Source organism: Homo sapiens, chromosome 6, assembly GCF_000001405.40.
Source record: "Homo sapiens chromosome 6, GRCh38.p14 Primary Assembly".
Taxonomy (NCBI): domain Eukaryota; kingdom Metazoa; phylum Chordata; class Mammalia; order Primates; family Hominidae; genus Homo; species Homo sapiens.
The window spans coordinates 167,170,073-167,197,370 of record NC_000006.12 but is presented as its reverse complement, the minus strand read 5'-3'; the positions used below and the strand labels follow the sequence as shown (position 1 = coordinate 167,197,370).

The 27,298-nt window shown below is 47.7% G+C and overlaps 1 long non-coding RNA gene and 1 pseudogene across 11 annotated transcripts, besides 1 other annotated feature; one reads left to right on the top strand and one right to left on the bottom strand.

The window, feature by feature from the left end:
* The first annotated feature begins 465 nt into the window (after positions 1-465).
* On the top strand, positions 466-3,788 carry LOC124901462 (uncharacterized). The gene is made up of 2 exons (XR_007059877.1): positions 466-900; positions 3,569-3,788. It is a non-coding gene; the product is annotated as an uncharacterized LOC124901462 (long non-coding RNA).
* On the bottom strand, positions 620-26,752 carry TCP10L2 (t-complex 10 like 2 (pseudogene); annotated as a pseudogene). Of its 10 annotated transcripts, XR_007059869.1 has the most exons (11): positions 26,649-26,752; positions 25,083-25,227; positions 23,403-23,618; positions 20,237-20,374; positions 18,829-18,987; positions 18,249-18,360; positions 16,638-16,738; positions 14,752-15,646; positions 14,268-14,425; positions 13,896-14,033; positions 3,664-3,740 (listed from the first exon to the last, which is right to left on the bottom strand). The product of XR_007059869.1 is annotated as a t-complex 10 like 2 (pseudogene), transcript variant X2 (transcript). The 10 variants fall into 10 exon arrangements; XR_007059868.1 differs by having other exon boundaries at positions 13,896-14,425; XR_007059871.1 differs by lacking the exon at positions 14,268-14,425.
* Positions 25,191-25,691: an enhancer, noted in NCBI's record as "H3K27ac-H3K4me1 hESC enhancer chr6:167585168-167585668 (GRCh37/hg19 assembly coordinates)". NCBI's record gives its function as "activates a minimal SCP1, AML or CMV promoter by ChIP-STARR-seq in primed H9 embryonic stem cells {active_cell/tissue: H9 hESC(primed)}" and the evidence as "EXISTENCE:reporter gene assay evidence [ECO:0000049][PMID:30033119]".
* Positions 26,753-27,298: the final 546 nt, after the last annotated feature.

Here is a 27,298-nt window from a genome sequence, read left to right as displayed (position 1 = left end):
CAAATCAACAGAATATACATTCCTCTCAGCACCACATAGTATTTATTCTAAAATCGACTGCATAATTGGAAGTAAAACACTTTTTAGCAAATGCAAAAGAACTGAAATCATAGCAAACAACCTCTCAAACCACAGTGCAATCAAATTAGAACTCAGGATTAAGAAACTCACTCAAAACCTCACAACTACATGGAAATTGAACAACGTGGTCCTAAATGACTACTGGGTAAATAATGAAATTAAGGCAGAAATAACAAAGTTCTTTGAAACAAATGAGAACAAAGAGACAATGTACCAGAATATATGGGACACAGCTAAAGCAGTGTTATGAGAAAAATTTATAATACTAAATGCCCACATCAGAAAGCAGGAAGGATCTAAAATTGACACCCTAACATCACAATTAAAAGAACTAGAGAAGCAAGAGCAAAATATTCAAAAGCTAGCAGAAGACAAGAAATCGTTCTTTTGTGAGCCTTCTGTTCTCTGACGTGTGCTGCTCTAACCAAGTTTCCTAAATAGGGGAGAGAATGTCTTTTCCTTTGCAATTTCTAGATGACTTGGGTAGTCCTAAAGTTTTGGTGGCTCTCCAAGATCATTTAGGGCAGCTAATATGTTATTAGTTTTTGTCTGTTTTAGCAAAAATCTGCAATTGGCATTTCCCATGTGATGCTGCGTGTTGAGGGCTCATCTGCTTCTCGTCCAGGACGACATTTCCAGCTTCATCTTTGATCTTAACCCTCCCGGAGGCATACTTGGTTTCCTGACAGCCGCTGCAATACACAGTCTTGACGGTGCCATCCGGGTACTCCCTCCTCTTGAACCGGGCTGTGTGGATTTCTTTCTGCCCGTTGCTGAGCACAATGGTTTTGTCGCCGTTCCTGAGAGGAGAAACACATGGTAAGGCGGCCTGTGCCAGGGTGGAGGCCAGTGGGGGTTGGGGGAGCACAGAATAATGCCCCCACCCGGGTCTGGAGCCCTCCTTCCAAATCTCGTTAGATGAGGGTGCAGAAGGCCACGGGCAGGGGCAGGAAAGGTGCACGGGGGGCTCAGGGAATCGGCAGAAACTCGGTGTGGGTGAGAGAGGGCAGGTGGGGAGGGCCAGGAGGCAGGGCGGGAGGTCAGCCGCATCTGCTCACCTGCAGGCTGAAGCCTGTGCTGACAGCTGGCTCTGATGGTGAGAGGGATGGCAGGGTTGACACAGGGAGTGACAGAGACACACATTGAATCATTTCAGAAAAGTGGCCCCGGAGGTGACAGGGAAGGTTCTGACTGCTGTGAGGAAGCTGGGGGAGTCTATTGTAATTGCCCAGGGGAGAAATGGTGAGAGCGGGAGACCTCAGACCTCAGAGAAAGGGCGGAGGCGGGGCAGCGAGGAGACACAGCCCACAGCAATCTGTGTTCACTTTGATATCAGGAAAGACAGGGAAGGTGTAAAACAACTTCCCACACTCTCCCTCGGGCAGCTGAGTGGATCTTTACTTTCTGCACAAACTAGCATTGAAATAGCAGCTCTGATGAGCTCTTCCTTGGTGTGCCTTAAACATTTGCTTGCACATGTTCTGCAATAGACTCGGGCTTCTAGACTACGTGGTCTGAGGTGAGCACTGAAGACTGGAGTGATTTTTACGGTTATAATTCAAACGAACCTAACGTCAGTGAAGTAAATACCTAAAAGTCCATTTGAAACCCATGGTCTCTGTAAAGGGATTCAAATCAAGGCCATAAGACAAAACTTCTAGAGTCAATGACATTATTTTCTTTTTTTTTAATACAAGCACTTAAATGTTTGCAAAAACTTAAATTAATATAAAGAAATTATTAAATAAACAAAAACTGGGGATGTTTCAAATTCGCATTGTCTGACTTTACTGACCTTTCCACCCTTACGATTGTCCCATCAGGAAATAAGGTCTCTTCCTGTCCATCCTTGAAATGTTTCACTGTCCCATTGGGAAACACGATTTCTTTGGAGCCATTGGGGTAGAATTTTTCTGCAGAATGCAGTTTTTCAGTGTATGTTACATTGAATCTGTTTAGAAACATGTTCTATGCAAATAATCTATAAAATATTCATGAGATTTATAGAGAGTATTTTCTAATCATCTGGCTTTATAACTAGGATTGCCAGGTATAATACAAAATGGCCAGTGAAGTTTGAATTTTAGATAAATGATGAATAATTTATTTATTTATATTATTTTTTGAGACAGAGTCTCACTCTGTTGCCCAGGCTGGAGTGCAGTGGCATGATCTTGGCTCACTGCAACCTCTGCCCCCCAAGTTCAAGCAATTCTCCTGCCTCAGCCTCCTGAGTAGCTGGGATTATAGGCATGCGTCACCAGGCATGGCTAATTTTTGCATTTTTAGTAGAGACAGGGTTTCACCATGTTGGCCAGGCTGCTCTCAGACTCCTGACCTCAGGTGATCCACCTGCCTCGGCCTCCCAGAGGCTGGGATTACAGGCATGAGCCACTGCACCAAGCCAAATGATGAATAATTTTTAACATAAGTATATTTTAAATATTGCATGGAACATACTTTTATACCAAAAATTACTGCTGTTTATCTGATATTTCAAATTCAGTGAGGGACTTGAATCTTTATTTGTTAAATCTGGCAATCCTACTTATAATAAAAGTTTAAGGACTTCAATACTGTATGAAAATACTCAAGAAGAAAAACTGTGTGAACATCTGAGAGCACATTTGCTGTGTTTCACTGTTTCAACCCGGTTGTAAACAACATACACACCTATCATGGCAAATTCAGTAAATTTATATTTCCAAACCAGGACGCTTGTGTCACTTAGCTGCTTAAACCTACTTTGTGGTGATCTGCTCCACTATGGGCTGAATGCTGTGTCCTCCCCAAATTCGTATGTTGAAACCTAATCCCCAAAGCAATGGTGTTGGGAGATGAGGCCTTTGGGCTGTGGCGTGGTCATGAGGGTGGGGCCCCGTGAATGGGATCAGCACATTTACTAAAGGGACCCCAGAGAGCTGTCTCGCCCGTTCCACCATGTGAGGCTGCAATGAGAAGATGCCGTCTGTGAACCAGGCAGCAGCCCTCACCAGACAGTGAAGCTGCCGGCACCTTCGTTATGGACTTCCAGCCCCAACACCGTTGTTGACAAGCCAGCCAGTCTATGGCACTTTGCTGTGGCAGCCTGAACAGGATAAGGCACACTCCATAAAGAACCGGTATTCAACATGCATTTTTGTACCTGCTCTTATCATTTTTTTATTTACACTTGAATATCTTGCTCTGGGCAGAATGATCTCGGTCTCATTAAAGCACAAAATTTAGATTCTCCCAACTTTGCTCAAGTGATCTCCCTGGCTGAAAGTTTCCTTTCCCACCCATACGCTGTCTGACTCCCTGAGTCCCTATGCTTGAAGTCCAATCTCCATTATGAACCCCACAGTCGGTGCCCTCTGCTTCTGAATGCTTTTGACTCTTGCTATGGTAAACATTCAACTTGACATTTTCATATTGATTTGCAGTTTTCAGCTGAATAATAAATTGTAGGAAAGAGCCATAATTCACCCTCTATGGTATCCTCCAGGGATGAATAACAGTGATTTTCACCTTGTACTGGAGACAGAACCCTTGGACACTGAGGAACTCGCTGTGGAGCCTGCTGAAATACTGCTGCACTGCTTCTATTTCATTACAGGAACAGGAAGGTGATTACAGTGCCTGCATGTGGGGTGCATTCACAGCTGCTTGATGTGTTTCTGAAAAAAAGAAAAGCTGCCAAATTAAACTTAATTGATGAGTTTCCATTTCTTCTTTTTTTCATTGAGACGGAGTCTCCCTGTGTCACCCAGGCCGGAGTGCAGTGGTGTGATCTCAGCTCACTGCAACCTCCACCTCCCAGTTTCAAGCGATTTTCCTGCCTCAGCTTCTGGATAGCTGGGATTACAGGCACGCACCACCACACCTGGCTAATTTTTGTATTTTTAGTAGAGACAGGGTTTCACCATGTTGGCCAAGCTGGTCTCGAACTCCTGACCTCAAGTGATTTGCCCACCTCAGCCTCCCAAAGTGCTGGGATTACAAGCATGAGCCACCACACATGGCCTCCATTTGTTCTTTTAACATCCATTTGCTTCTTTGTGTGTGTGTGTGTGTATGTGTGTATATTTAGAGACAAGGCCTCGCTCTGTCACCCAGGCTGGAGTGCAATGGTGTGATCATGGCTCACTGCAGCCTCAGACTCAGAGCTCAAGTGATCCTCCTGCCTCAGCCTCCCTAGCTAGGACTATAAGAGCATGCCACGATGCCCAGCTAATATTTTATTTTTTGAAGGAATAGGGTCTTGGTATGTTTCCCAGGTGGTCTCTAACTCCTGGCCTCAAGAGACCCTCCCGCTGTGGCCTCCCAAAGCACCAGTATGTTTCCCAGGTGGTCTCTAACTCCTGGCCTCAAGAGACCCTCCCGCTGTGGCCTCCCAAAGCACCAGTATGTTTCCCAGGTGGTCTCTAACTCCTGGCCTCAAGAGACCCTCCCGCTGTGGCCTCCCAAAGCACCAGGATAACTAGTGTGAGCACCATGCCCAGCCCACAAACTGTATTTAAGCAAAATGAATACAGTGAAGAATCTGACAACTGAGGAAAAATTCTACCCCTTAAAATAATTTTTAGCACAAAATGGTAAAAGATTGTTTTCCGGTTGTATATTAATGGAACACCCTGCAGAAACTGGGGGCTCTTCTTTGGGTCAACAGCTGAGAGCAACTGAATTCACTCCCTGCCTGGTACATATCAATGCCTGACTCTTGGCTGATTTGTATGAATGTATAAGAACCATGCATGAGACACACAATTGCACCTGTAAAATGGAAGGAGTGGGAAACAATGGGACTTCTGTTTCACTCTGTTCTTGAAATATCAGCCGTAGGCAGAACTGTTGAACGTCTGATAAATATATCCAAGAACAGTAACAGAACTTAGAATTCCTGCTGGAAAATTAACTGATCAGAGACCTTCTACATGGACCAGCTGAGAGTCAAAGTTTTAGGTCTTTTAAACAAAAATAAAATACAGACCTATAAATACTTTTCTTTTTCAGAAGACTGGCGTTAATATTAATCAATCGCTCAGCATGGCCTTTGCAAACTAGCAAGTGTAATTTTTCTTTGTCGAATGTTTGCTGGAGGTCACTCAAGAAAACAAATGCTCTAGTGCCCACTTTGCTGCTATGTGCCCAGTCAGAGCCTAAATGACAGCTTGTGAAGGCAAAAATTCTAACAAGACACACAGCTGCACTGGCTGAAATATTAGGACAAAAAGAAAAAGGGTGGGAGCCAGGAATTCACAGGACAGTGTGTCTCAGCAGCTTCAAGGGCCCATCTGGAGGTCCGTTGTGTCACGGAGGAGCAGATACCCCACAGCGGCCTTGATTCTGCCCTTGCAATGGGGCAGATCAGACATCCCAGCCACACATCCACTACAAATACCGAGGAATGCTCAAGCAAATCACAAAATCCCTGGGAAATGAGCACCCAAGTTCATGGAAGGGGCTACAAATCCCAGAGGGTGCTGGAATGCAGACTCGAACCTGACCTGCGGCTGCCTTGGTGACCTCTGCAGTCTCCAGGAGGTTTGGTCCTTAGTCACTCTGCTGGGATAGGATGAAGGGCTTTGTCTGGGAACTTAAAGAGGACACTCTCTGAGGGTTAGAGGCCCAAAGAAAGAGGGAACTAGAAAATACCTCCCTGCCGGCAGATGGAGAGCACCAAGGAGTGTTGCTGTCTCTCTCTGAGCTCTTTCCAAAGAATGTGTTACTACAGGGTGACCCTCATTTACCCTTAGCAATTGCAGTTCTGCTACCTGTACCTGGGACACCTTAAACTAAGAAGCTAACATGAAGTGATCCCAGGCTGGTCGTGCCCTGGGACACCTGGCAGAAGCAAACACAAAGCTTTCTGGATACTATCTCCCAGACTGGGCCCCATAGGATCGCCACCAACACAGGCTGCCAGCACAAATATAAAATAGGTGAGGAAGCGCAACACCATGAGGAAATGCCAGAAGTATTGGAAGCAGAGACAAGCTAGCAGCAGCCAGTGTCACGCGGAGCTCCGAGACGGCAAGCGTGGTGCTACCAGAAACTGATGACAAGGCAAATGTTTGTAGAATATTTAAAAAATTAAAGTAGGAAATTAAAAATGAAAGAGAGAAAAAATTCTTGGTGGATTTGAAAAAGAACAAATGAAATCAATATAATCTTCAAAATTAAAGCTAAATGATATATTAAATAGCACATAATATTCAGCTGAAGAGAAAACTGAGAAACCAGAAAAATAATTTACCCAGATGATAACAAGAAAATATAATATGTGAAGAGGGAAAGACGCTAGAATGAGGTGGTGTAATGCAGCTATAATTGGAAGTACAGGAAGAGAAAGAATGGAGGAAAGGTAAGATTGGTAAAGATAATAGTTCTGAATTTCCCTGAACTTGATAGTGTTCCCAGATAAAATATAGGACACCAGTTAAATCTGAATTTTCACATAAACTACAAATGACTTTTTAGTGTATAAGTATGTCCCACATACTGCATGGTACATACTCATAACAAAAAAACATCATTTATTATTCACCTGAAATTCAAATTCAACTGGGCATCCTGCATTTTTATTTGCTAAATCTGGCAACCTAAGCTTCTGAAAGACACAGTGATTATATTTAAGATGCACAACAGGCTGGCCGCGGTGGCTCACACCTGTAATCCCAGCACTTTGGGAGGCCAAGGTAGACGGATCACCTGAGCCATCCTGGCTAATATGGTGAAACTCCGTCTCTACTGAAAATACAAAAAATTAGCCAGGCATGGTGGCACACACCTGTAATCCCAGCTACTTGGGAGGCTGAGGAAGGAGAATCACTTGAACCAGGGAGGAGGAAGTTGCAGTGAGCCGACGTCATGCCACTGCACTCCAGGATAGAGCAAGACTCCATCTCAAAAAAAAAAAAAAAAGCAAAACAAATCCCCAATACAATGAACAAAATTAAATCCATAACTAGACATATCATAATGTCACTGGAGACAGAAGAGTCCTTAAAAGCAGCAAGTAAAAAAAAAAATCACGTTCGAAGGAAGAAATTAGTCCACCATCAGATCCTCCAGCAGACACCGTGTGGGAGTGGAATAAAGTCCTCAACACGCTCAGAAAAATCACTGTCATTCCATTGCTCAATACTATCCAATGGCTTCTCCACAATGGTCTACACTGCCTGGTCCTGGCACTTTGACCTCATCTCCTGTACCCCTGCCACACCGGCCTCCTTGCTCTTCCTCAGACACACCACACACTTTTCACGGCTCTTTCTCACTCTAGAATGTTCTTCCTGACACGCACACAGCTCCCTCTCTCACATCACTCATGGATCCCTAAAATATCCCCCCTCAGTGAGGCCCTCCTCAACGGCATACAGATGGCCCCCTAGGGCAGCAGCCCAGCACTCTCCCTCCCTGCTTTCTACCCTCTTGTTTTTCTCTGTAGCTTTTCATAGAGACTGATTTTTATATTGATATTTATTTTTACCTGATTATTTTATGCTTCCCTCCAATAAAATGTCATGAAATAAGAACTTTTCACAAATTTGCTCACTGCTGGATCCCTAGCCCTAAAACAATGCCTGCCACAGGGTGGCCATGTAATAGCTATGGGATGAGGGGTCAGAAGGTGCATCAGGACGAACGACCACTCATGAACAAGGCAAAACAAAGGACATTTTCAGATGAGCCAAAAGGGCTGATTGCCCCCGTCTCCTCATGCTCGTCAAGTAGAAGGAAATTGTGCCAAGAAGAAAGGCCCAAAATATAAGAAAGAAGAGCCCCAAATTCTGCATAAATTTAGAAAGTTTAAAGTAAACACTGGTTACATAAACACCACGGTAATAATCATAACTAATACTGAGGGTGAAAATCAAGTTAGAGTAAAAATCCTGGCAGAAGCCAACACAATGGCGTGAAAGATTGGGGAGGGGAATTCGGACTAAAAGACTCTTGATTTGGTTGTAGAGGACAGTAAGGACACTGATACATTTTCAGTTTATGCAATAAAACCTCAGGTTAAAAGGAAAGTTATTTTCAGATTATATATTTTTCTTAATGTCTGTTTCTTATAAGATCACATTTAAAGGTAAAGATTTAGAAATAGCAAAAGAAAGAATAGAAACAGATATACCAGGCATATATTAACTAACTGAAAGAAAGCTGCTGTACCTATTAGATTTAATAGACTTAAAGCAGAAAGCATTAAAGGTATAAAAATATGTATTACTGGTTAAGGATTTTTAAAAAGAAACCAATTCAAAAGAAAGAGAAAAACTACAAATAAATATTAGCAAATTCATAACCAAAGTAGGAATTTTTTTTTTTTTTTTTTTTGAGATGGAGTCTCACTCTGCATTGAGGCCTGAGTGCGGTGGCATGATATGGGATCACTGCAACTTCTGCCTCCCAGGTTCAAGTGATTGTCCAACCTCAGCCTCCTGAGTAGCTGGGATTACAGGTGCACGCCACCACATCCGGCTAATTTTTGTATTTTTAGTAGAGACAGAGTTTCACCATGTTGGCCAGGCTGATCTCGAACTCCTGACCTCAGGTGATCCGCCCACCTTGGCCCACGAAAGTGCTGGGATTACAGGCGTAAGCCACCGCACCCAGCCCAAATTGGGATATTTTTAAAACAGTTCTCTCATTATCTAATGCAGTGGTCCCCAACCTTTTTGGCACTAGGGACCAGTTTTGTGGAAGACAATTTTTCCATAGACTGGCATGGGTGTGGGTTGTGGGAAGATTGGATGATTCCACTGCACTAACTTTACTGTGCACTTTATTTCTATTATTATTACATTGTAATGAAATAACTATACAACTCACCACAACGTAGAACAAGTAGGAGGCCTGAGCAATGGCGTGACCTCGGCTCACTGCAACCTCCACCTCCCAGGTTCAAGTGATTCTCCTGCCTCAGCATCCCAAGTAGCTAAGATTACAGGCACCTGCCACTACGTCCGGCTAATTTTTTGTATTTTATTTTTAGAAGAGATGGGGTTTCACTATGTTGGCCAGGCTGGTCTCAAACTCCTCACCTTGTGATCGGCCTGCCTTGGCCTCCCAAACTGCTGGGATTACAGGTGTGAGCCACTGTGCCCGGCCGCCCTGAGCTTTTTTCCCTGCAACTAGAGGGTCCCATCTGGGGGTGAAGGGAGGCAGTGACAGATCATCAGGCATTAGATTCTCACAAGGAGCACGCATCTAGATCCCTTGCGTGCGCAGTTCACAGTAGGGTTTGCGCTCCTGTGAGGATCAAATGCTGCCACTGATCTGAAGGCGGCGGAGCTCAGGTATAATGGATCCATGGGGAGTGGCTGTAAATACAGATAAAGTTTCCCTGGCTTGTCCTCCGCTCACCTCCTGCTGTGCAGCCCAGTTCCCAAGAGACCCAGGGGTTACCCAGAGGATGGCATTTTAGAGTCCAGGCGAGACTTCAGGAAAGAATGTGGTGGCTTTTAGGACAATGCGCTGACTAGGCTGTGCGAATAAGTAACACCCACTTATCTCAGTTGTTGCTCGAGCCATGTAGCCAGGCTCACCCAGAAAAGCTGAAACACAAGCCCCTGACTAAGGTCTGACGGCGTTTACAGAGGCATCCAGACCTGGGTGCACTTACACACCCGCACAGAAGCCACAGGCTCACAGCTCTTGGATAAGAACCAGGAAAACATACATTAAGCAGGGTAAGCCCCAAATTATCTGGACAGCTGCTGCTATGGGGAACTTGCCTACAGGGCTCAGGTATCTGCTAACCTGCAAGTCTCCACACCTCTACACACTCACATGCAAAGGCACCTACCCACGCGGGTTCCTGGTGACGTTACTCACCTGTCTGCTTGTTAGGAAACTGCACAACTTCCAAACCGTCAGGGTTAGGTCGTGCACACTGTCTGAGCATTTGCGTGATAGTAAATCTGTAAGCTCCAGAAACACCTACGTTGGGAGGAAGTCTATGTTATCATTTTGAACCTGGATTTAATCTAGTAAAGTCCTTCCTGCGGGTGGGTAAAAGCACCATCCCAGCAGGTGGGAGTGGGCTGACCTTGTCCATGGGCACCCTCCACAGCAAGGGGGCATGGGGGGAGGGCTTGTCACCCAAGCCCAAAAGTCAAGACACTGTGGCTCTAGGCTCGTGGGAGAGAGGACTGGACCGAGGTGGAGTTCCCGGTCCTTCACCTGGTGGGCTCTGAACTAGAGTTTGCTGGGCCTGGCAGCCTTGGGGGCCTGCAGGAGGTCCAGGTCCAGCATAGTGAATATGAGTGAGGAGCCCTAAGACCCAAACCCCACAGCTCAGAGACCAAGGGTCTCCCAGCAGCTCCAAACAACAGAAACACTCCCTGGGTTGTGCCTCTTGAATTGTCACATTACTGTGAAGTTTCCCATCATTGTGACCCCCTCTGGTTTCCAATAAAGTGGGGAAAAGAAGAGGGGAAGGAGCTGCTTTGGAAGAGGACAGTCATCCGGGAGGGGAGGGGACATTCCTTATGGTCAAGCGAGCCTTGACTATAAGTAGGGAAGGGGGAATTATTAAAAAATTAAGGGTCCAGAACTAGAAAACCGTGGGATGTACATGTTTGTTTTGAAGTGGGACCACGGACAGGCATCCACTCTCTCCTGAGCTCTGGGACCCCGGTGTGTCACTGCATGTCTGCCATCTATCATAGCAACAGCATCGCTGCCCGTCAAAGGCTGAGAGAAGGCAGGAGAGAATAGGAGAGGTGACTTATTTAGAAAAACCATGACACTGAAGTCGAAGGGACTATTTCCGTGCCATTATTTTAAAGGCATTTTTCTCACATGGGGGACATTTGTCCAAATGTCAGAAGAAAGCCACAAATTCTCAATTCTGCATCATCCCAATAATCATCAAGTCCAAGCTCAGGCTCCTCGCTGGGGTCAGGGTTCCCTTTGGAGACCAGAGAGGTCTGAGGGGAACAGAGGGGCTCTCAGGAGACCTGGGGAGGTGCACACTCGCTGGCCTGCAGTGGCCATTCCCTCTGACCACGCAGAAGGTCAGAATAGGAGGATGTCCTTCCAAGGCCTGTGCCAGGCCCTGTTCTCTCCCGCTGATTCATCCTCACCGCATCAATTCTTATATTGTCACACTCTGCCTCCCTACACCCCCACATCTGGCTAAGAAACGGCTATTTCCTACTCCAAAGTGACGGAAAGCTAGACCTCACAATGAAAGGCTGGGGCAGGCTATGAGATCGGTATCACAGATTCCTCCACTGGGCAGTGGCGTAACACAGGCCACCGTCTAAAGGGGGTCATCCAAGCTCTTTGTCTGCATTTCCCTGCAAAAAAGGGAGCATGCAAGTTAGTTCAGGTCGGTGGAAGAGCACGTGGTGGGCACACCACGCCTGTGTCCACGCTCGGGGCTTCTAACATCCACCCTCAGGAAGGGTCAAGAGGCTTCGCTGGGATAAAATCACAGAGCCACAAGCAGGCGCCTCTCATTAAAGCAAGTAACACAAAAAACAGAGGCGCGCTCTGCAGTCTTTCAGAACTCCTGGACCCTGTGCCTCTACATTTGTACCCAAAGCTTGGCTAACAACAGGGAAACTGATCATTCTAAAGAGGGAAATGTTTAGAATACAATTTGGTAATGTGTGGGTACTAAGAGACTATTCTCAATGCACTACAAACCCTGCCCTGACCTCCCTTATCTCACCTTATTTACAATCGGTTTTGGAAATTATCCAAATTTTCTTAAGTTAGAATCGAGTTATATACCCTGAATTATCTGGACAAAAATACTGCCACCCTGGAGACCTTGCCTAGAAGACCTCCAGATTGCTCAGCATCTGTGTTTTCCATACATGATCCCTAGACACACAGAGACATGTAGTTTGAACCAGGGGGTCACAGCATCCTCACAGCTCCTCAGCATCAAGTGGGCCCCCAGCTACTGTGATCTGTGGCTTTCTTCCACAAACACATCATCGGCTTTTACCAGTGATGATCGTCATGGTAACAGCAGCTGTCAGCTGCTGAGTACTTGATGGGTGCCAAGCAATATATGCATGGCATAACTTTGGTCCTTATAATAACCTAATGGGGCTTTCCCAGCCTCAGAACTATTGTCAGTTTGGGCAGGATAACTCTGTGGGGTTGGGGGGCTGTCCTTGGCATTGGGATGTTTACCAGCATCCCCGGGCCCCACTATCTAGATGCCAGCAGCACCCCCACCACCCCCAGTTGTGACAACCAAATATGTCTCCAGACATTGTGAATGTCCTCAAGGCAGGGGGAATAATTGCCCCCAGTTGAGAACCAGACCTGGGAATATTTCCTGATTTTTTTAATGCAGAAATTGAGGCTTGATGAGATGAATTAGTTGGCTGGTGTTGGCACAGCTGGTCTGGCAGAGCTGCCAGTCAGCTGAGCCCGTGAACCCCAAGCCTGTGCTTTCTGCTCCACCTGCAAGGTGGCTGCTGGACACAGTGCCTCCTCCCGGCTGTAAAAACCGTCTCCCTGGATCTCACCTCCAGCTTGTACCAGGGATTAGCTCCTGACTCTGCCTAACTTTGTTGCAATACTAATGCTAGTTCTACAATCAATGCACATGTACTAAGTGTTTACCACTGTGTTTCTAGAGAGTTCTGCAGAAGAGACATTATTTAATGGACTATGTTACTTAACTTTCATAACCATCTTTTGACTTAGGTCCTAATTATCAGCCACATTTTGCAGAGGCTTAGAAAAGCTGAAAACAATGACTGAACTCAGAGCCAGGAGGGGTGCTGCTGCATTCTTGTGTCACCGCGCAGATCGGAGGGTCTTGACAACAGGGTCTCACTTGCCTGAGCGCACCAAGGAAGCGGAACAGCCTGGCTCATAGAGAGCCTCGCCCGCCTCCACAGCCTGTGCTCTGCCCGTCCCCCCCCACCCATCCTGAACACCCAGAGGAAAGGGGGTACAGATGTGCAAAATCGTTCCTAATAACTGAGTTAGTTGTGATTTCTTTTAAAAAAAGACAGATCTTTTTTATAAAAAAAAAACATCCATTGTACACAACACTCTCTGATCGGGTTTGATCTTCTTCACGTCACCATTAGAAAACCGGATGATGTGTTCTCACTCAGAGGTGGGAATTGAACAATGAGAACACTTGGACACAGGAAGGGGAACATCAGACACCCGGGCCTGTCGTGGGGAGGGGGGAGGGGGGAAGGATAGCATTAGGAGATATACCTAATGTAAATGACGAGTTAATGGGAGCAGCGCACCAACATGGCACATGTATACGTATGCAACAAACCTGCACATTGTGCACATGTACCCTAGAACTTAAATTATAATAAATAAATAAATAAAAGAAAACCGGATGATGGTCGCCTTCTTATCCATGCTCGGCTCCTTCTGGCTGGCCTCGGGGAAGGTGGTGATGGCACAACCTTCGCTCAGTGCCTGTTCTACCTTTATGGAAACACAAAAGCTCCAAGATGAAAAATGATGTAAAGCCTGATTATTGTGGTTTCATTATTTTTTCTTCAATTCAGAATTGTTACATGATTATCACCTACATGGCATTCTCGACACTGGGTGTGATATTTCCCCCAAAACTGTACTGACTGAGTAGATCAGGTCCAAATTCCCATCCCCGAATGTGGTTATCAGTAATGAATAAGTGCTATGATCTGTCCCACCAACATTCGTCTTTCATAAGCTCGTGTCCCACAGTGGCCATCAGTCTAGATCTTCCACGGCCGCTGACTTGGTGAGTTTAGAGTACTGGGCCATGGGAATTGTGGTAATTACTACGTAAAAATTACTCTTGGAAGCTTTTTCTTTCCTTTTCATCCCAATCTCCTTACCTCTTCGCTCCTACGGCCCATCCCGAAGATGTGTTGATTTTAATTAACTATCAGCAAATATTATATAACCTCATGTGCATAATGCTGGACAAGGAATGTAGAAAGAATATCTTTGTCTTCACATTGAAAATATTACTCCTGTAAAGATTAGCAAAAGAAAATATCTGAGAGAAATAATCTCAAGATCTGGGGAGATAAGATAAGTGCATGTGAAAATTCCAAATGGCAAAATGTGTTTTTGTTATTTATGTCACACTGTCCCTCTTAACCATAGCTCAGAAATATAGGTGTTAATTCAGCTGAGAAAATACAAAGGGAATAGAAGCGAATGCTGGGCTTCTTAAACTGTCTTCAACCATCCACCAAACAAACCTTGACGGTGTGCGCCACCTGCTGGCCGGGACAACAGCCTCCTGTTTGATGGGGTTTGAACTAAGATGACTCCACCTGCTCCCAAACCAACTCGGTGAATGAAGCAGGGCTGTGTTCAGTTCCGTATCTGAAGATGAACTTTTAACCAACACTAAAAACTGCGGCAACGTTTAAAGAATCAATTACTCTCAGAAGTAATAAAGCACAAATAATATTTTAAATGTTCCACATGAAAAGAATCAAACAATCTATTTTGGAGTTTATATTATTAAAAGAAAGAAAACACAAAAAAGGAAAGAACTTTGGCATATCCAATGCAAGACACACAAGAAGTAGATGCAAGATGAGTCACGAGAAGAGGAAAGTGTTGAAGACCTGGGAGGGAGGGTGGGGGAGCCAGAGACGTAGGAGCAGGCAGAGGTGGGTGACCGCTGGTTGTGGGGAGAAAGGAAGGATCGCGCTAGCAGAGGGCACAGCGCGTTACCTAGTTCTTGTGTCCTCATCTTCGTGGTTTCATGAGCTTCAGCGATTGGTTTCTCCATGCACTTAGCCAAGGAGGAGCATCACTTATGTCTCATGGACCTGCCTATGGGGATGGCAAGGTCAGGTGCTCAAATGATGTGGGTTTCCTTCTCCCCTGACAAACCACTACAACCACTGCGCTAAAGACAAAAGCATTTCAGTGAATTCAAACTGTTACTGCAAGTAGCATTCCCTGTTGTTCATTTATCCAAATGCTTTATCCGCTTGCAAGACATGAATTCGCTTTTACTGAGGCAGAGTTCCCTCAGCAAAGCTAGCCTGAGGCCGACTCCCAGTTTCTAACAGGCCAGCAAGAGGCGTGAGATGAACGAACTGTTGAGCTGAAGAAGCAGCGATGATGTGCTGCCCCAGGCAGGACTGGGTCTCCTCGGAGCTCACAAAACACTGTAGCCGCAGCCGCAGCCGCAGCAGGTGCCTCTTCCCACCCCTTCCTGAGTCAATGCCGACCACCGCCACCTTGACGCGTCCTTCCGGAACTGAGCTCTCCTCAAGGGCTAAAATGTGGTGGCTGGAAGATATTTGAGGCTATAGTTTTGGGTTTTTTTTTAAGTATTTAAAACAAATCTTCCTCCTGAAAAGCGTATTGCTTTATTTACTGGTAATAAACTGGCAGTCAACAATGCTAGAAACGCCTGGCCTCCAGGTCAGGGCCCCATGTCCTGTCTGGAGGGAGCGGCATGCAGAGCTCCTGGAAATTCACTCGGGAAACCGGACCGCCGGCAGTCATCTGCCTTGCCATTTGGATGTCGTTTTTCTTCCTGTACTTCCTCCTTTTTCATCTTAGTGTCCATGGCCTGTGCTATTTCCAGGGAAGATGGTGGGTTTACAGGAAGATTCTGCAGAAAGAGCATAATCCTAATCTCCCATGGTCTCCATGAACACTGCAGTATGAGGCGGGAGAAATGCACCTTGCCCTGGCATTTTGCAGCCTCTGCCTCTAAGTCAGTGGGCGCGGCTGAGCCCCGGACAGTCAGCACCGGGACTTTGGACCATGTTTTGTGTTTTATTAAAGTGCTTATCTCCCACTTGTATGTTTGGTCTGGAGTCAGGGTGGCCACAATGACAACTGCCACATTTAACACCTGATACAAACACCACACAGAGACACCACCTGCCATGGCTGCTGCACTGCTTCTCAATGTAGATCATTAGCCCGGAGGCTTCCAGGTGAACTCATTAGCTGGATCCCCAAACAAAATAAAATCCCAAGAAAAATATTCCCACTCGTCCCCCCACTGAAGACGTCGGAGAGGGCAGAACAGAATGTGGGCTTTTCGCAGGAGAACAGAAAACAAGCGGGACCTGTGTTCTGAGACTTCCCCGCCAGGTGTCTAGTTTTACATCATACGTAAGTTCACAGCCCAAATTTCCTGGCGTAGAGAAAATAATTTTATTTTATTGACTTTTTTTTTTTTGTAAAATATAGCATGTTACAAGTGGGCCCCTAGCTAGGGCTTAGAAGTATGTTTGCTATTCTTGCCTTCGAGTCTATTAATGTCAACTGAGAACTGTAAATCAAAATGATAAAAAATGAAACTCTGACTAGGGGAACTCTTAAGTCATAAAAAACATTAATCTTGTTTGGGCTAAATGCAACCAACTTAAATCTATAAAAAAAAGTCTCTGTTTGAAAGGCTGAACTTCAGGAAATAAAGAGACATTTGGAATCATCTTAATTTTCTGTTCTTGTTGAGAAGATGGGAAGATGCAACCATCTCATGACACCGGCTCCGAATCTCACTTCCCCAGGACGAAAAGGTCACCTTCTCAGGTCTCCCTGAGGGGAACCGGGTGGGCCGCCCTCACAGAAGCCACTCAGCCACCTACCTGCCGCTCTGCACTGTCTGGGGAAGAACTGGCGAACTCTTCAGCTTGAACGCGGCTGAGAAATCCGCCTTCAGAACTCCCTAAGACTGATGAGCTTCTGTCTAAAAAGCAAAAAGTTAAATTTAAAGGGACAGAGCATATACATTGTGGAAATATCATTATCCTACTGCGATTGCTAAATCCAATTGAAGTGAATGGATGCACAGCTTCCCTCTTGTTCATGAGATCACTATACACATGTCAGGTCAGTTCAACAACAAGTGATCCTGTAAGAACATTAATTCTTTCATGAATACACTCAGTCAGTATTTCTTGGGCATCACTCTCTCTCGAGTATTCTGATGGATCAGGAGATTCACGGATGGAAAGGCACTGCCTCGGCCCTGAAGCTGCTCATGGTTCTGCAGGAGGCAGACACAGGAGAGAAAGGCCGGATCCCTGCACCACTGGCTTATGGGACCTATGAAGGGACAGGGGCTGTGGTGAAGGAGCATCACAGGCTTCCAGGAGAGCCCGGGATCCGGGGGGTCGTCCCCAGGATGGCATCACTGTCAGCTGAGATGATGCCTGGAGGTTGTGGAGGTTGTGCAAGACAAGGCCTCCAGTTCTGCCCGGCAGCAGCAAGTAACTAAAGTCTGGTCTGGGGGCCTGAAGAGGAGGGGGCAGCAGAAACAAGGTGGCCAGGCTGGTGCTGACCTGATGGGAAGGGCTTCCCCACCCCGTAGAGGAGCGCAGAGGGGACTGTGAGGGTACGCAGAGCCTGGGGTGGTCTGAAGCAGACAGATGGCACCAGTCTCACCTCTGTGAAGCTCCCTGCAGAGGCCATGAAGCAGTCTGGGGTGCAGGAGGCCCGGGGAGTGGACCCAGGAGGAAGACAGTGTCGGGTTTGGCCCTACAGGGCCACACAGGCCTGGGCCGAGGATGGGAAAGAGTCCAGGTGCCAGGCAGCCCAGGGCGAGTTGTGCCCACAGGCTTGGGCTGTGCTGTGCATAAGGACCACACCTGAGGCTCGGCCACCTCATGGGCTCCATTTCTTTAGGAAGACAGGTTCCTGCGGGGTTTGTGAAGCTGCTATGGTCATTTTCTGGCAGTAACGTGAGGAAGGAGTTCTTTCCCAACTCTACCAGGGGTACTGTTGGCTCCTCCCGGTGGGACCCCCAATGCAGAAAGCACCCACATCTGCATGGACAGAGCTGGGCTCAGGAAAGAGGCCGGGCAGGTGCCCGATGAGAGGGCGCTCCATCAGCGTGGCAGCAACGCCATGGGCGGGCAAACGGAGAAAAGGGAACAAAGCCCCCGAGTCCGCCCAGGCCCAGCCAGACGCCTTCAGCTGGGAGTGTACTCAGGGGAAGCGGCCGGTAGGATTCGGAATCTCCAGCCACGGCCCCTGGAGACCGGCATGTGGGCTGTGTGTGGGGTGGAGGGCTAGGGGTGTCGGCAAGACTCCCAGGTGAGGACCCAACCAGGGAATCGGACAAAAGTGGTCAGAAATTAGGCAGCTCCATGAAGGACATGTCCTTGCCGTAGTAAGATGTTCTGCTCACGCGTATCCACAAGAAAGCCCCCCACTTTACAGGAAGCATGGAAACAGGAGCCCCCTACCCTGCTCACCAGCAACTCCGGCTGCTGCCGTCTGCTCCTGCAGCGTGGCGGCCTGGGAAGCCTGCACTGGTGATTTTCTGCCACCGGAGTTTTGCAGACTTCGGGAAGATGGATGCATAATCTGGGGCAAAGACAGTCAGAGGCCTCCCTTGTCATAAGGTCCCTGCAGCCGGCAATGCCTCGAGCCCAAAGGCTGGGAGCACGAAGCCATCTTCAGCCATCCACAATTTCCAGCAAGACCCCAGGGCTCACCCAACAGCCCTGAGCTCAGCACTACAAGGTAGATCAATTCTTTTAAAGACTCTGCAGAAATATACCAATTACGGAGCTCGGGCAAGTAATTGATTTTTAAAACCCAATTCAAGTTGTTTGCTTTTTAAAACCCAATTCAATTTATTTGCTTTTATAGCATTAAAGACATGTCTGCAGAAATTCAAAGTTTTATCTATAGAAACATAATTAGGTTAATAAATTACTAGGTCTATTTCGAATAACAAATTGAGTACTCTTATGAGACCTAAGTGGAACTTCATCTGAATCTGAATTTTCCATGCTGCCAGTGTAGAGTGACCCAGGTTTCCGAGGTCACCTTTCCGTCTTCAGACACCTCCCGTCTTTCTGCACCGGGAGTCGGCCTTCCAGTGGGTGCTGGACTTCTGTCTTGACGTCTCCCGGGAGGACTTTTCTCTCTATCTTCCTGTGGTGGTGTTTTCCCCGAGTTAATTCTTTCTGTCTTTAAACTCATTGGCTGAAAATAAATGTGGTTGCATTAATAACCATCATATTATTTTAAAATGTTGAGCAACACATCACACCAGCTGCCACAGAATCTAGAGGATTCTACCCCCGCTTCCTACAGAAGGACACATGAGGCATCCACGCTCTCATTCCCCATTTTACAGCCACGCTCTTGAGGAATTCAGGGACGGTATGGCTGACATTGTAGAATAGTCAACAGTGAAATAAAGTACTTGAAACTCAATTCAAAAATGCATAATGAAAATAATGTTCTACCTTTTCTGCTGCTTAAAAATTCAGGGTTTGGAGGCGTGGATAAGCCACCCATTCAGTTATCTATTTACTCGTACATTGCCCAGCACGCGTGTGATTAACTCAGGTCAATGCAGAAGCGTGAGAGAAGTCCGTGTCTCACAGGAGGCTGGACCTATGCAGTCCGTCCTGGGACTTTCAATGTTTTGTACTCATAGGATCTGAAAGGACTATTTTCCTACTTGTGACAAATGCTTGGAGTAGATTTCTGATCTTCCTTCAGGGAATAAAGTGTTATCTGTTCAGCAGTTGCTTTGGGAAAGAAGCGAGGGGATAAATCATCTTCAGGAGTTGGGGGGCAGTCTTCTCCATCCACATCGACCCAGTATCAGTTGCTGGCTGAGGACTCACGAGATTTGCCCCCCGAGTGTGAGGGTGACACAAAGCTAGGATGGGAAGAGACACACTGGCCAGCAGAAGGTTCTAAAGAGGAGCTAATTTTAACAAGGAAAAATGTGTTGGAGACAAAATAGCATCCTGCACCGTGGCCCCCAAGCAAGTGGCACAGCCCCTGTTCAGAGGAGTCCACGCTGACAAGCAGCAGGTGCAAGACCGCAGTGCAGAAGCAGGGATCGTGGGAGGCTGCGAGCCCCCAGACGCACGGGCCATGGCATGTGGCGAGAGCGCCACGCGTATCACCTCCGTGGGTGGCACCCACGGAAACAAAGCCCCCGAGTCCACTCAGCCCCAGCCAGACATTTGCTGCCATGAGTGAGCTCAGAGGGAAGCAGCTGGCAGGACTTGGAATCTGCCCTACAGCAGGAAGTGCTGTGGTTTAGGATCTTGTTTGAAAGGCATGCACCCATGTCCTTGGAAAAACGCAGGACTCCGGGGAGCACCATGCTCACCCAGGGAGGTGAAACTGTGTGGTGAGGAGCTGATGGGATGTGTGTGTTTGGGTACAGAAGCTCTGCTGCTCTTTACAGACGATAAGCACGAAGGGTCACCTTTGGAGGAGCTAAGTGGTTAGATGACCATCTTTGTCCCAGGAGAGTCGCACTCTGACTCTTGCGGCCAGCGTATTTGGGCGTTGTCTCTTCATCAGCTGACAGAGGTGAAATTTTTCCAAAAGCAGGTTCCAATGCCTAAAAGACAAAATGCGGGGAAAATGTTCACATTTTCAAAGGTAAGATAAATTCAAATTTTAATAAAATCCAAAATAATTGGAATGTCCTAGAAAAAATTAGGGTACGAGGTGGGGGGACTTGGCCTGGGTTTTTCCCCTAACATGTTGATAAGAACAGAAACCCTCACCCAACGTTTGTGAAGGAAGCTTTGTGGAGCCCGTATTTGCTTTGTGTTTCTTATTGTGGTTCCTTGTTTCAAATTGATCACAGGATCCCAAAGGCTACAGAATGATCAATACCCAACATATCTTCCTTCAGGCTCATGTGTCTTCAACGGGGAATGTGGCAACGGAGGAGGAAAATGTGATGCTCCTTCTAGTGTTGTCTCTACAACTTGTCTAAGATTCGAAATGCAAATTCCCAACTTCCCCTGTTATCAGCAGACTGACCTGGAACAGCGTGATCCTGCAGGTGGGAGGAGGTGTGTTAGGTCTGGAATGTTTAATTATTCCCCGCTCTCCCCTCTGAGGAGGAGGAGGGAGTGAGAAGGGGAGAGGGTTGCTATGAACGAACCCTTAATACCAGATCCAGAGTGGCTCACCCACACAGCCGTGCCCGCGTTCCGAGGGTGCTCATGCCTCAGCCTTTTAGACGCTCAGTCCCTAAAACTGCGACTACACACAGATACACCTACGCAAATTTGAAGTGTGGAATTCACATATCCCGTCCTTTCTTCAAATCAGGTATGCTCTTGTGAGCATAGATCCTCTTCCTATAAATAGCCCCATGGTGACCAGTACAATGCACAGAATCAAAAAAAAAGTTTGGAAATTCCCCAAGCTCTAACCTCGAAATAAGAGAACAATGGAAGCTGTAGGGAGTGTGAAGACTGGACGAGACTTCATTGGCTCTTGGGGTTACTGTTACGGTAACATTTCGACCAACATACAATGACCCAAATGGGGCAGTAGATACTATTTTTTAGGAACTGGCATACAGTATATGCAGGGAAAAATCCCTGTGGGTCTTATGGGTTCTCCTCACAGAAGGTGGACAATCCCGGCCAGTATTTGTGGCAATTTCTCCCTCTCTACCTCTGACGGAGGAACAGCCTGCCCGGCTTCCACTCGTCGTTCGGCAGAAGGACTGGGCACTTTGCTGTGCTGAGAGGATAAACCCGCTTTCTTTCTGAGGCAGCAGAAGCCATCTCCACGGAAACAAAACTCTCGCAGAGCTCCCGAAGACTGGGAATGACTTCCAAGATTTCCCGTAATTTCTTGTAGAGGAATTTGTGGCTGTTCTTGCCATGCTGGGAGAACCGACCACAGAGCAGGCTCCTCTGGAATGTATTCTGTGGGTGCCTCTGTGTGTGTGTGCATGTGTGTGTGCACACGTGTGTGTTGTAATCACTGTGTCATATCGGAAACATTCCAAGTCCTGGAAGTACCGATTTAAAAGTTCACGCAATAAGTGCAGATAGGAAATGTTGGTACTTTTCTTAACCCACTGAGAAATATCCCCACTTACATTTGGAGGGTGTTCACGTGGTTCCGCGTGTCCTGACCTGTACATATAATTTTAATGATTCAAGTTGTTTACACCCATGTGCGGGAGACAGAACCCAGACAAGGCAGTGATAACACTGGCCACATTCACACTCTCTTAGGCTCGGTCTTTGAGCCGTGTGATCAAACTCGAAAGCTCAGTGTTCTATAAAGGCAGGTGGGTGCTGGGAGGCACCGACTATTTCAGCATGAGAATGCTGGTTCTTCCTTTGGGATAGAGCAGGGCGGTGATATGGGACGGGCGCAGGAAAGTCCTGGGTAGAGAAGGGCAGGTCCCTGGCTAGGGCTCCACCCCCGGGCCTGTGCCCAGGGACCTAGGCATTTCTGCTGTCGTGCCCAAATGTAGCATTTCCAAGACCACCCTGGCCTGCCACACTCCCATCTTGTGCCTGTGAAGACCCCGAGACCCTAGTGGGCAGAGACACAAGTGGCTGGCATCGAGAGGAACACACTGGCAGACATCAGCAAGCCATTGACTGTCAGAATGACAGGGAGATTGATCAGGGCAGTCAGAGGAGAGCCCGGCGGCTGGGCTGCCCAACTCCAGGTGAAAACCACCTTCCCACTCCATCTCGGTTCTGGCTCCCCTGTCTGCTGAGAGCTACCATCACCCAATAAAAAACCTTGCACCCATCCTCCAAGCCCACATGTGATCTGATTTTTCAGGTACACCGAGGCAGGAACCCAGGATACAGAAAGCCCTCCGTCCTAGTGATGTGCAGAGGGTCTAACTGAGCTGCTAAACACAAGCTGCCTACAGAGAGCTAAACTGAAAGAACGCCCTGTAACACACGCCCACTGGGGCTTCAGCTGTAAACATTCACCCCTAGACACTGCCGTGGGGTTGGAGCTGCACAGCTGCCCGTCTCTACGCTCCCCTAGAGGTTTGAGCTGTGGGACAATGAGCAAGCGAGCCACATCCCCTTCGCACACCCTGGGAGGGGGACAAGGGAACTTTTCCCGTTTCAACAGGTCTCTATCGCATTCTACACAGCTGTCCTAGAAGATGAACAGAAGGACACCGGGCCACTGAGCTGACTCTGGAGTCACCCTGGGTTCAAATCCCAGCTCCGCATTCTCCAACCCGTGGCCATGATGGAGTTAGTTATAGGATCCATTTCATAGGGTCGTCGTAGACAGTAAGATGGTAAAGCTCCCTACCTAGCCCATGTAAAGTCCACAGTAAGGGTTTGCTGCTGTTGTCCTGAGACATCATGGGATGTCTTAGAATTCTAGACGTGAGACGCGCAGCCTGGAGGCGGCTGTGCTTCTGTCTGCTGGAGCGTCAGGTGAGATGCCTGATGTATCCAGTTCTTTAATCTTTACTTGTGGGAAATGGAGCTGATGGAAAGATAGCAAGCCCTCCCACCACCTGGAACGTGAGAGATACCACGTCACCCAGCGACAAAGCCCACATCTTTACGGGGACGCTATTTTTACACGACGCAAATGATACAAAAACACAAATGCGCCTTTGGTACCAGAGTGTGTGATTCTCGCCCCGCGTGTGGGGACGCTGCGGGTTTCTTCCCGGCTTCCCACTGCTGCCGCTGCAGGCCTCTCAGCTCTTCTCGGAGCTCCCGGTTCTGCTTCCTCAAGGCATCCATATGACTCTGGAGTTTTCTGTGAATATCAGCCCACAGCGACTGCTGTCTCCCGAGCTCTTGGTGGAGGCTGGTGATCTGCTGCTGTAATGACTGTCATTGGGAAGAGAACACCAGGAAACCTCTCAGACGCCCAACCGGCACATTCATCTGCAAAATACTCAAGCCCCCTCTGAAGTGAGACCAACACTCTTTCTGGACAAAAGGACACCCGATGAGATAAACAGGACTACCGCAGCCTTTTTCTTTCTTTCTTTCTTTCTTTCTTTCTTTCTTTCTTTCTTTCTTTCTTTCTTTCTTTTTTAATTTTTATTTATTTTTATTTTTTTTTTTGGCAGAGTCTCACTCTGTCATCCAGGCTGGAGTGAAGTGGCATGATCTCACTTCACTGAAGCTTCAACTTCATGAGCTCAGGTGATCCTCCTGCCTCAGCTTCTGATGTAGCTGGGACTACAGGTGCGTGCCACCACACTTGGCTAATTTTGGTATTTTTAGTAGAGATGGGGTTTCACCAGACTGGTCTCAAACTCCTGGGCTCAAGTGATTCACCTGCCTCGGCCTCCCAAAGTGCTGGGATTACAGGTATAAGCTACCATGCCTGGCCACAGCTTTATTCTTATTAAGTAGTGTTTATTATGAGTTAGTCCATATAATATAACCAGATAAAGATGGTCAGTGAATTATGATTCTTTGTTAAAACACTACAGCAATAAGAGGCTGGCATTCTTTTTCCCTTCCTTGTTTTCTTTTTCTTTTTTTTTGTTTTTGTTTTTGTTTTTGTTTTTTGGAGGCAGGGTCAAGCTCTGTTGCTCAGATTGGAGTGCAGTGGCACAATCTCGGCTCACTGCAACCTCCACTTCCCAGGTTCAAGCAATTCTGGTGCCTCAGCCTCCTGAGTAGCTGTGATTACAGGTGCACGCCACCACACCTGGCTAATTTTTGTATTTTTAGTAGAGACGGGGTTTTGCCATGTTGGCTAGGCTGATCTCAAACACTGTGCTGGCATGGATGTATGGTCAACAGTTTAAAAATTATGGAAGCCACTGCATTTTCAACCTGACATGTTAGCCTTCCCGTGGCATCCTTCATTGGACCGTAGAGCCTCCAGCCTTGCTCTGAGAATAAGCGGGATCGTGATAAAGGTACAGCCCTGCACTGTGTGGCCCTGGCCACAGAGACCCATGGCACTTTCATGAGAGCAAGCACTGTCCAACAGGGTCCAGTGAGGAAGGTGGTTGCTGGGATGATGTGAGGCATGTCAACCTGATTTTCTTTAATGAAGTTTTTAAAGTCTGGTGCCTTCTCCTGGATTAGAAGAGAAAAGCTGGAATGTTAATATTTTCTTTAACTCTGTGTCCTGCCTCCCATCAACAAAGAGAGAAGGTTGCAGAGGGGAAAAGAGCCACGTGCCCCTCTGAGAGGAAGTTTAGCATCAGCGTCCCAGGGTGGCGCATTCCTACAGGGGTCTGGCGAGGGAAGTCCAATGACAGGCCTCAGGGACAGGAATCAGGGTCCCGCCTGGTGGGACTAACTCTATCCCCACAGAGATCAGCTCACCGGCATCTCCCCGGCATTGCTGTCCTCCCTGGGGACCTCGGCTGCTGCAGGTGTCTTCTCCATGGCAGCCCCAGCTCCCGGGCACGGGTCCTCTGGGTGGGTGCCCTCCTTGGGCTCCCTGGCCTCGAGCTGACCCTCCAGCATCCTGGTTGGGAAGGGAAGAGCTATGGCAATGCCTGAATGCAGCCCCCTACCCCGTCAGTGTGGGCTGAAGGCCCCAGCCTCAACCTAAGGGCGAGCAGAAACCACAGCCTCTCTTCTCCCCCGGGGTCCTGTACACATTCCCAAGCCCGAAGCTGACCAGGTGAAAGGACACCACAGAGGGAGGGACTGAGAGGTCCACACCTGGCTCTCCACCATCCTCCAAGAAAACACTTCAGCTCCTAGAAGATCAGCCTGACACCTAACACACTGTCACCATCCACAGATGGAGGGACTGAGCGGTCCACACCAGGCTCTCCACCATCCTCCATGGAAAACACTTCAGTTCCTAGAAGATCAGCCTGACACCTAACACACTGTCACCATCCACAGACGGAGGGACTGAGCGGTCCACACCTGGCTCTCCACCATCCTCCATGGAAAACACTTCAGTTCCTAGAAGATCAGCCTGACACCTAACACACTGTCACCATCCACAGACGGAGGGACTGAGCGGTCCACACCTGGCTCTCCATCATCCTCCGTGGAAAATGCTTTAGATCCTAGAAGATCAGCCTGACACCGAATGCACTCTGGTCATCCAGAGAAGGGTGTGAGCGGGGTGTGAGCCGGTGTGAGTGGGGTGTGAGCAGGTGTGAGGGGAATGTGAATGGGTGTGAGCAGATGTGAGCAGGATGGTCTCGGGGTGTGAGTGGGATGTGTGTGGATGGTCGCGTGCGGCCCTGAGGGAACTCTTAGCCCTTTAATCAGCAACACTGGATCAACACCCACTTGGAGGTGCACAGGCAGACCCCACACTGTGTTGAGTCGTGTTGAGTCTGAGTCTTGAACCATCGGGATGACATTTGTGAATTCATGGTGAAGACGTGGAAAGGAAACACCTTTTTATAGGTACAGCATTTATGCCAGTTCTAGGAAGCTCACAGCAATCAGAAAACTAAAACAAAAGAGAAAACGCAAAGCTTCCTGCAAGCCTGCAGGGTCCTCTCTGAAAGCCGCTCCCAACCCTGCCTCACCCTCTCGGTTTTAGGAAGCGAATGGCCCCCAACGAAACCCCAGCTGTTTATTCATAAACTTCTCACTGTATACAAACCTGAGAATGAACAGTTTAACCACAGTGATTGGAGAAATGCTGTTTAAAAGAGAGTCTCCTGATGAAGGCAAATCGAAGGTCAAGAGCAAGACCTACCAGTAACCGGATCCCTGGCTGTTCCTTCCCCGCGGGGATTGGGACAGTTTCTGTGGAAGTGGGCAAGGGTCCGCGGTCCTCACAGCCCTGAGAAAGCTTCTTCTTTCCCGCTCCTCCGAGGGGATACCCCAGTGTCCTCGGCCCCAAACTTGTGACCCCCTCAGTCTGGGGAAGACCCCTTCCCTCAGCCCCACTACCAGACCTCATCACCTCACCTGGTCCCCGCCAGTCACTTCTGCTGGGACCAGAACATCTGGGCCGTGTCCCCACAGCTGTCCCCAAGTCCTCCCGCCTCATCTCCAGAGACCAGAGAGCAGCCGACGGTTCCAACGGACTTTCTGTCTTAAAGGGGCATGAGCGTCCCACTCAGCATCACCACTGGACCAGCTCAGATAATAATTAAACATCCCAAACCCGCAATTCTAACATAGGAGCTCATTGTCAGTGGAGTCCATCCATCCACAAAGGACACTGGAGAGAGTCAAACTGCTCCTCCCCATTGACAAAAACCATGTGTTTAATATCAAGTCTTCAATACCCAACGTGTAGTAAGAGCTCATTTCTCTGAGCATACATTCTTGAAGAAATATAAACTCTCTTTGGATGTCAAATTATTTACTAGAAAAAACATTTTTATGAAGGGAAAATAATATATGTGAGTTTAAATAGGAGACAGGATTCAAATTTTCATCATTTCACAGAATGCATCTCCATCTGAATTGTCGTGTGATTTTTGTGATAGAGAAGAGAATGAGGCACAAGCGAGGGTCCATGTTCCTGTTAAGCCCTGGCCATCCTTCTCATCCACGGTGCTGCCTGTGGAGAGCACACCTGGGGCTCCCCTGAGGCTGCTTGTGCTGTGTGT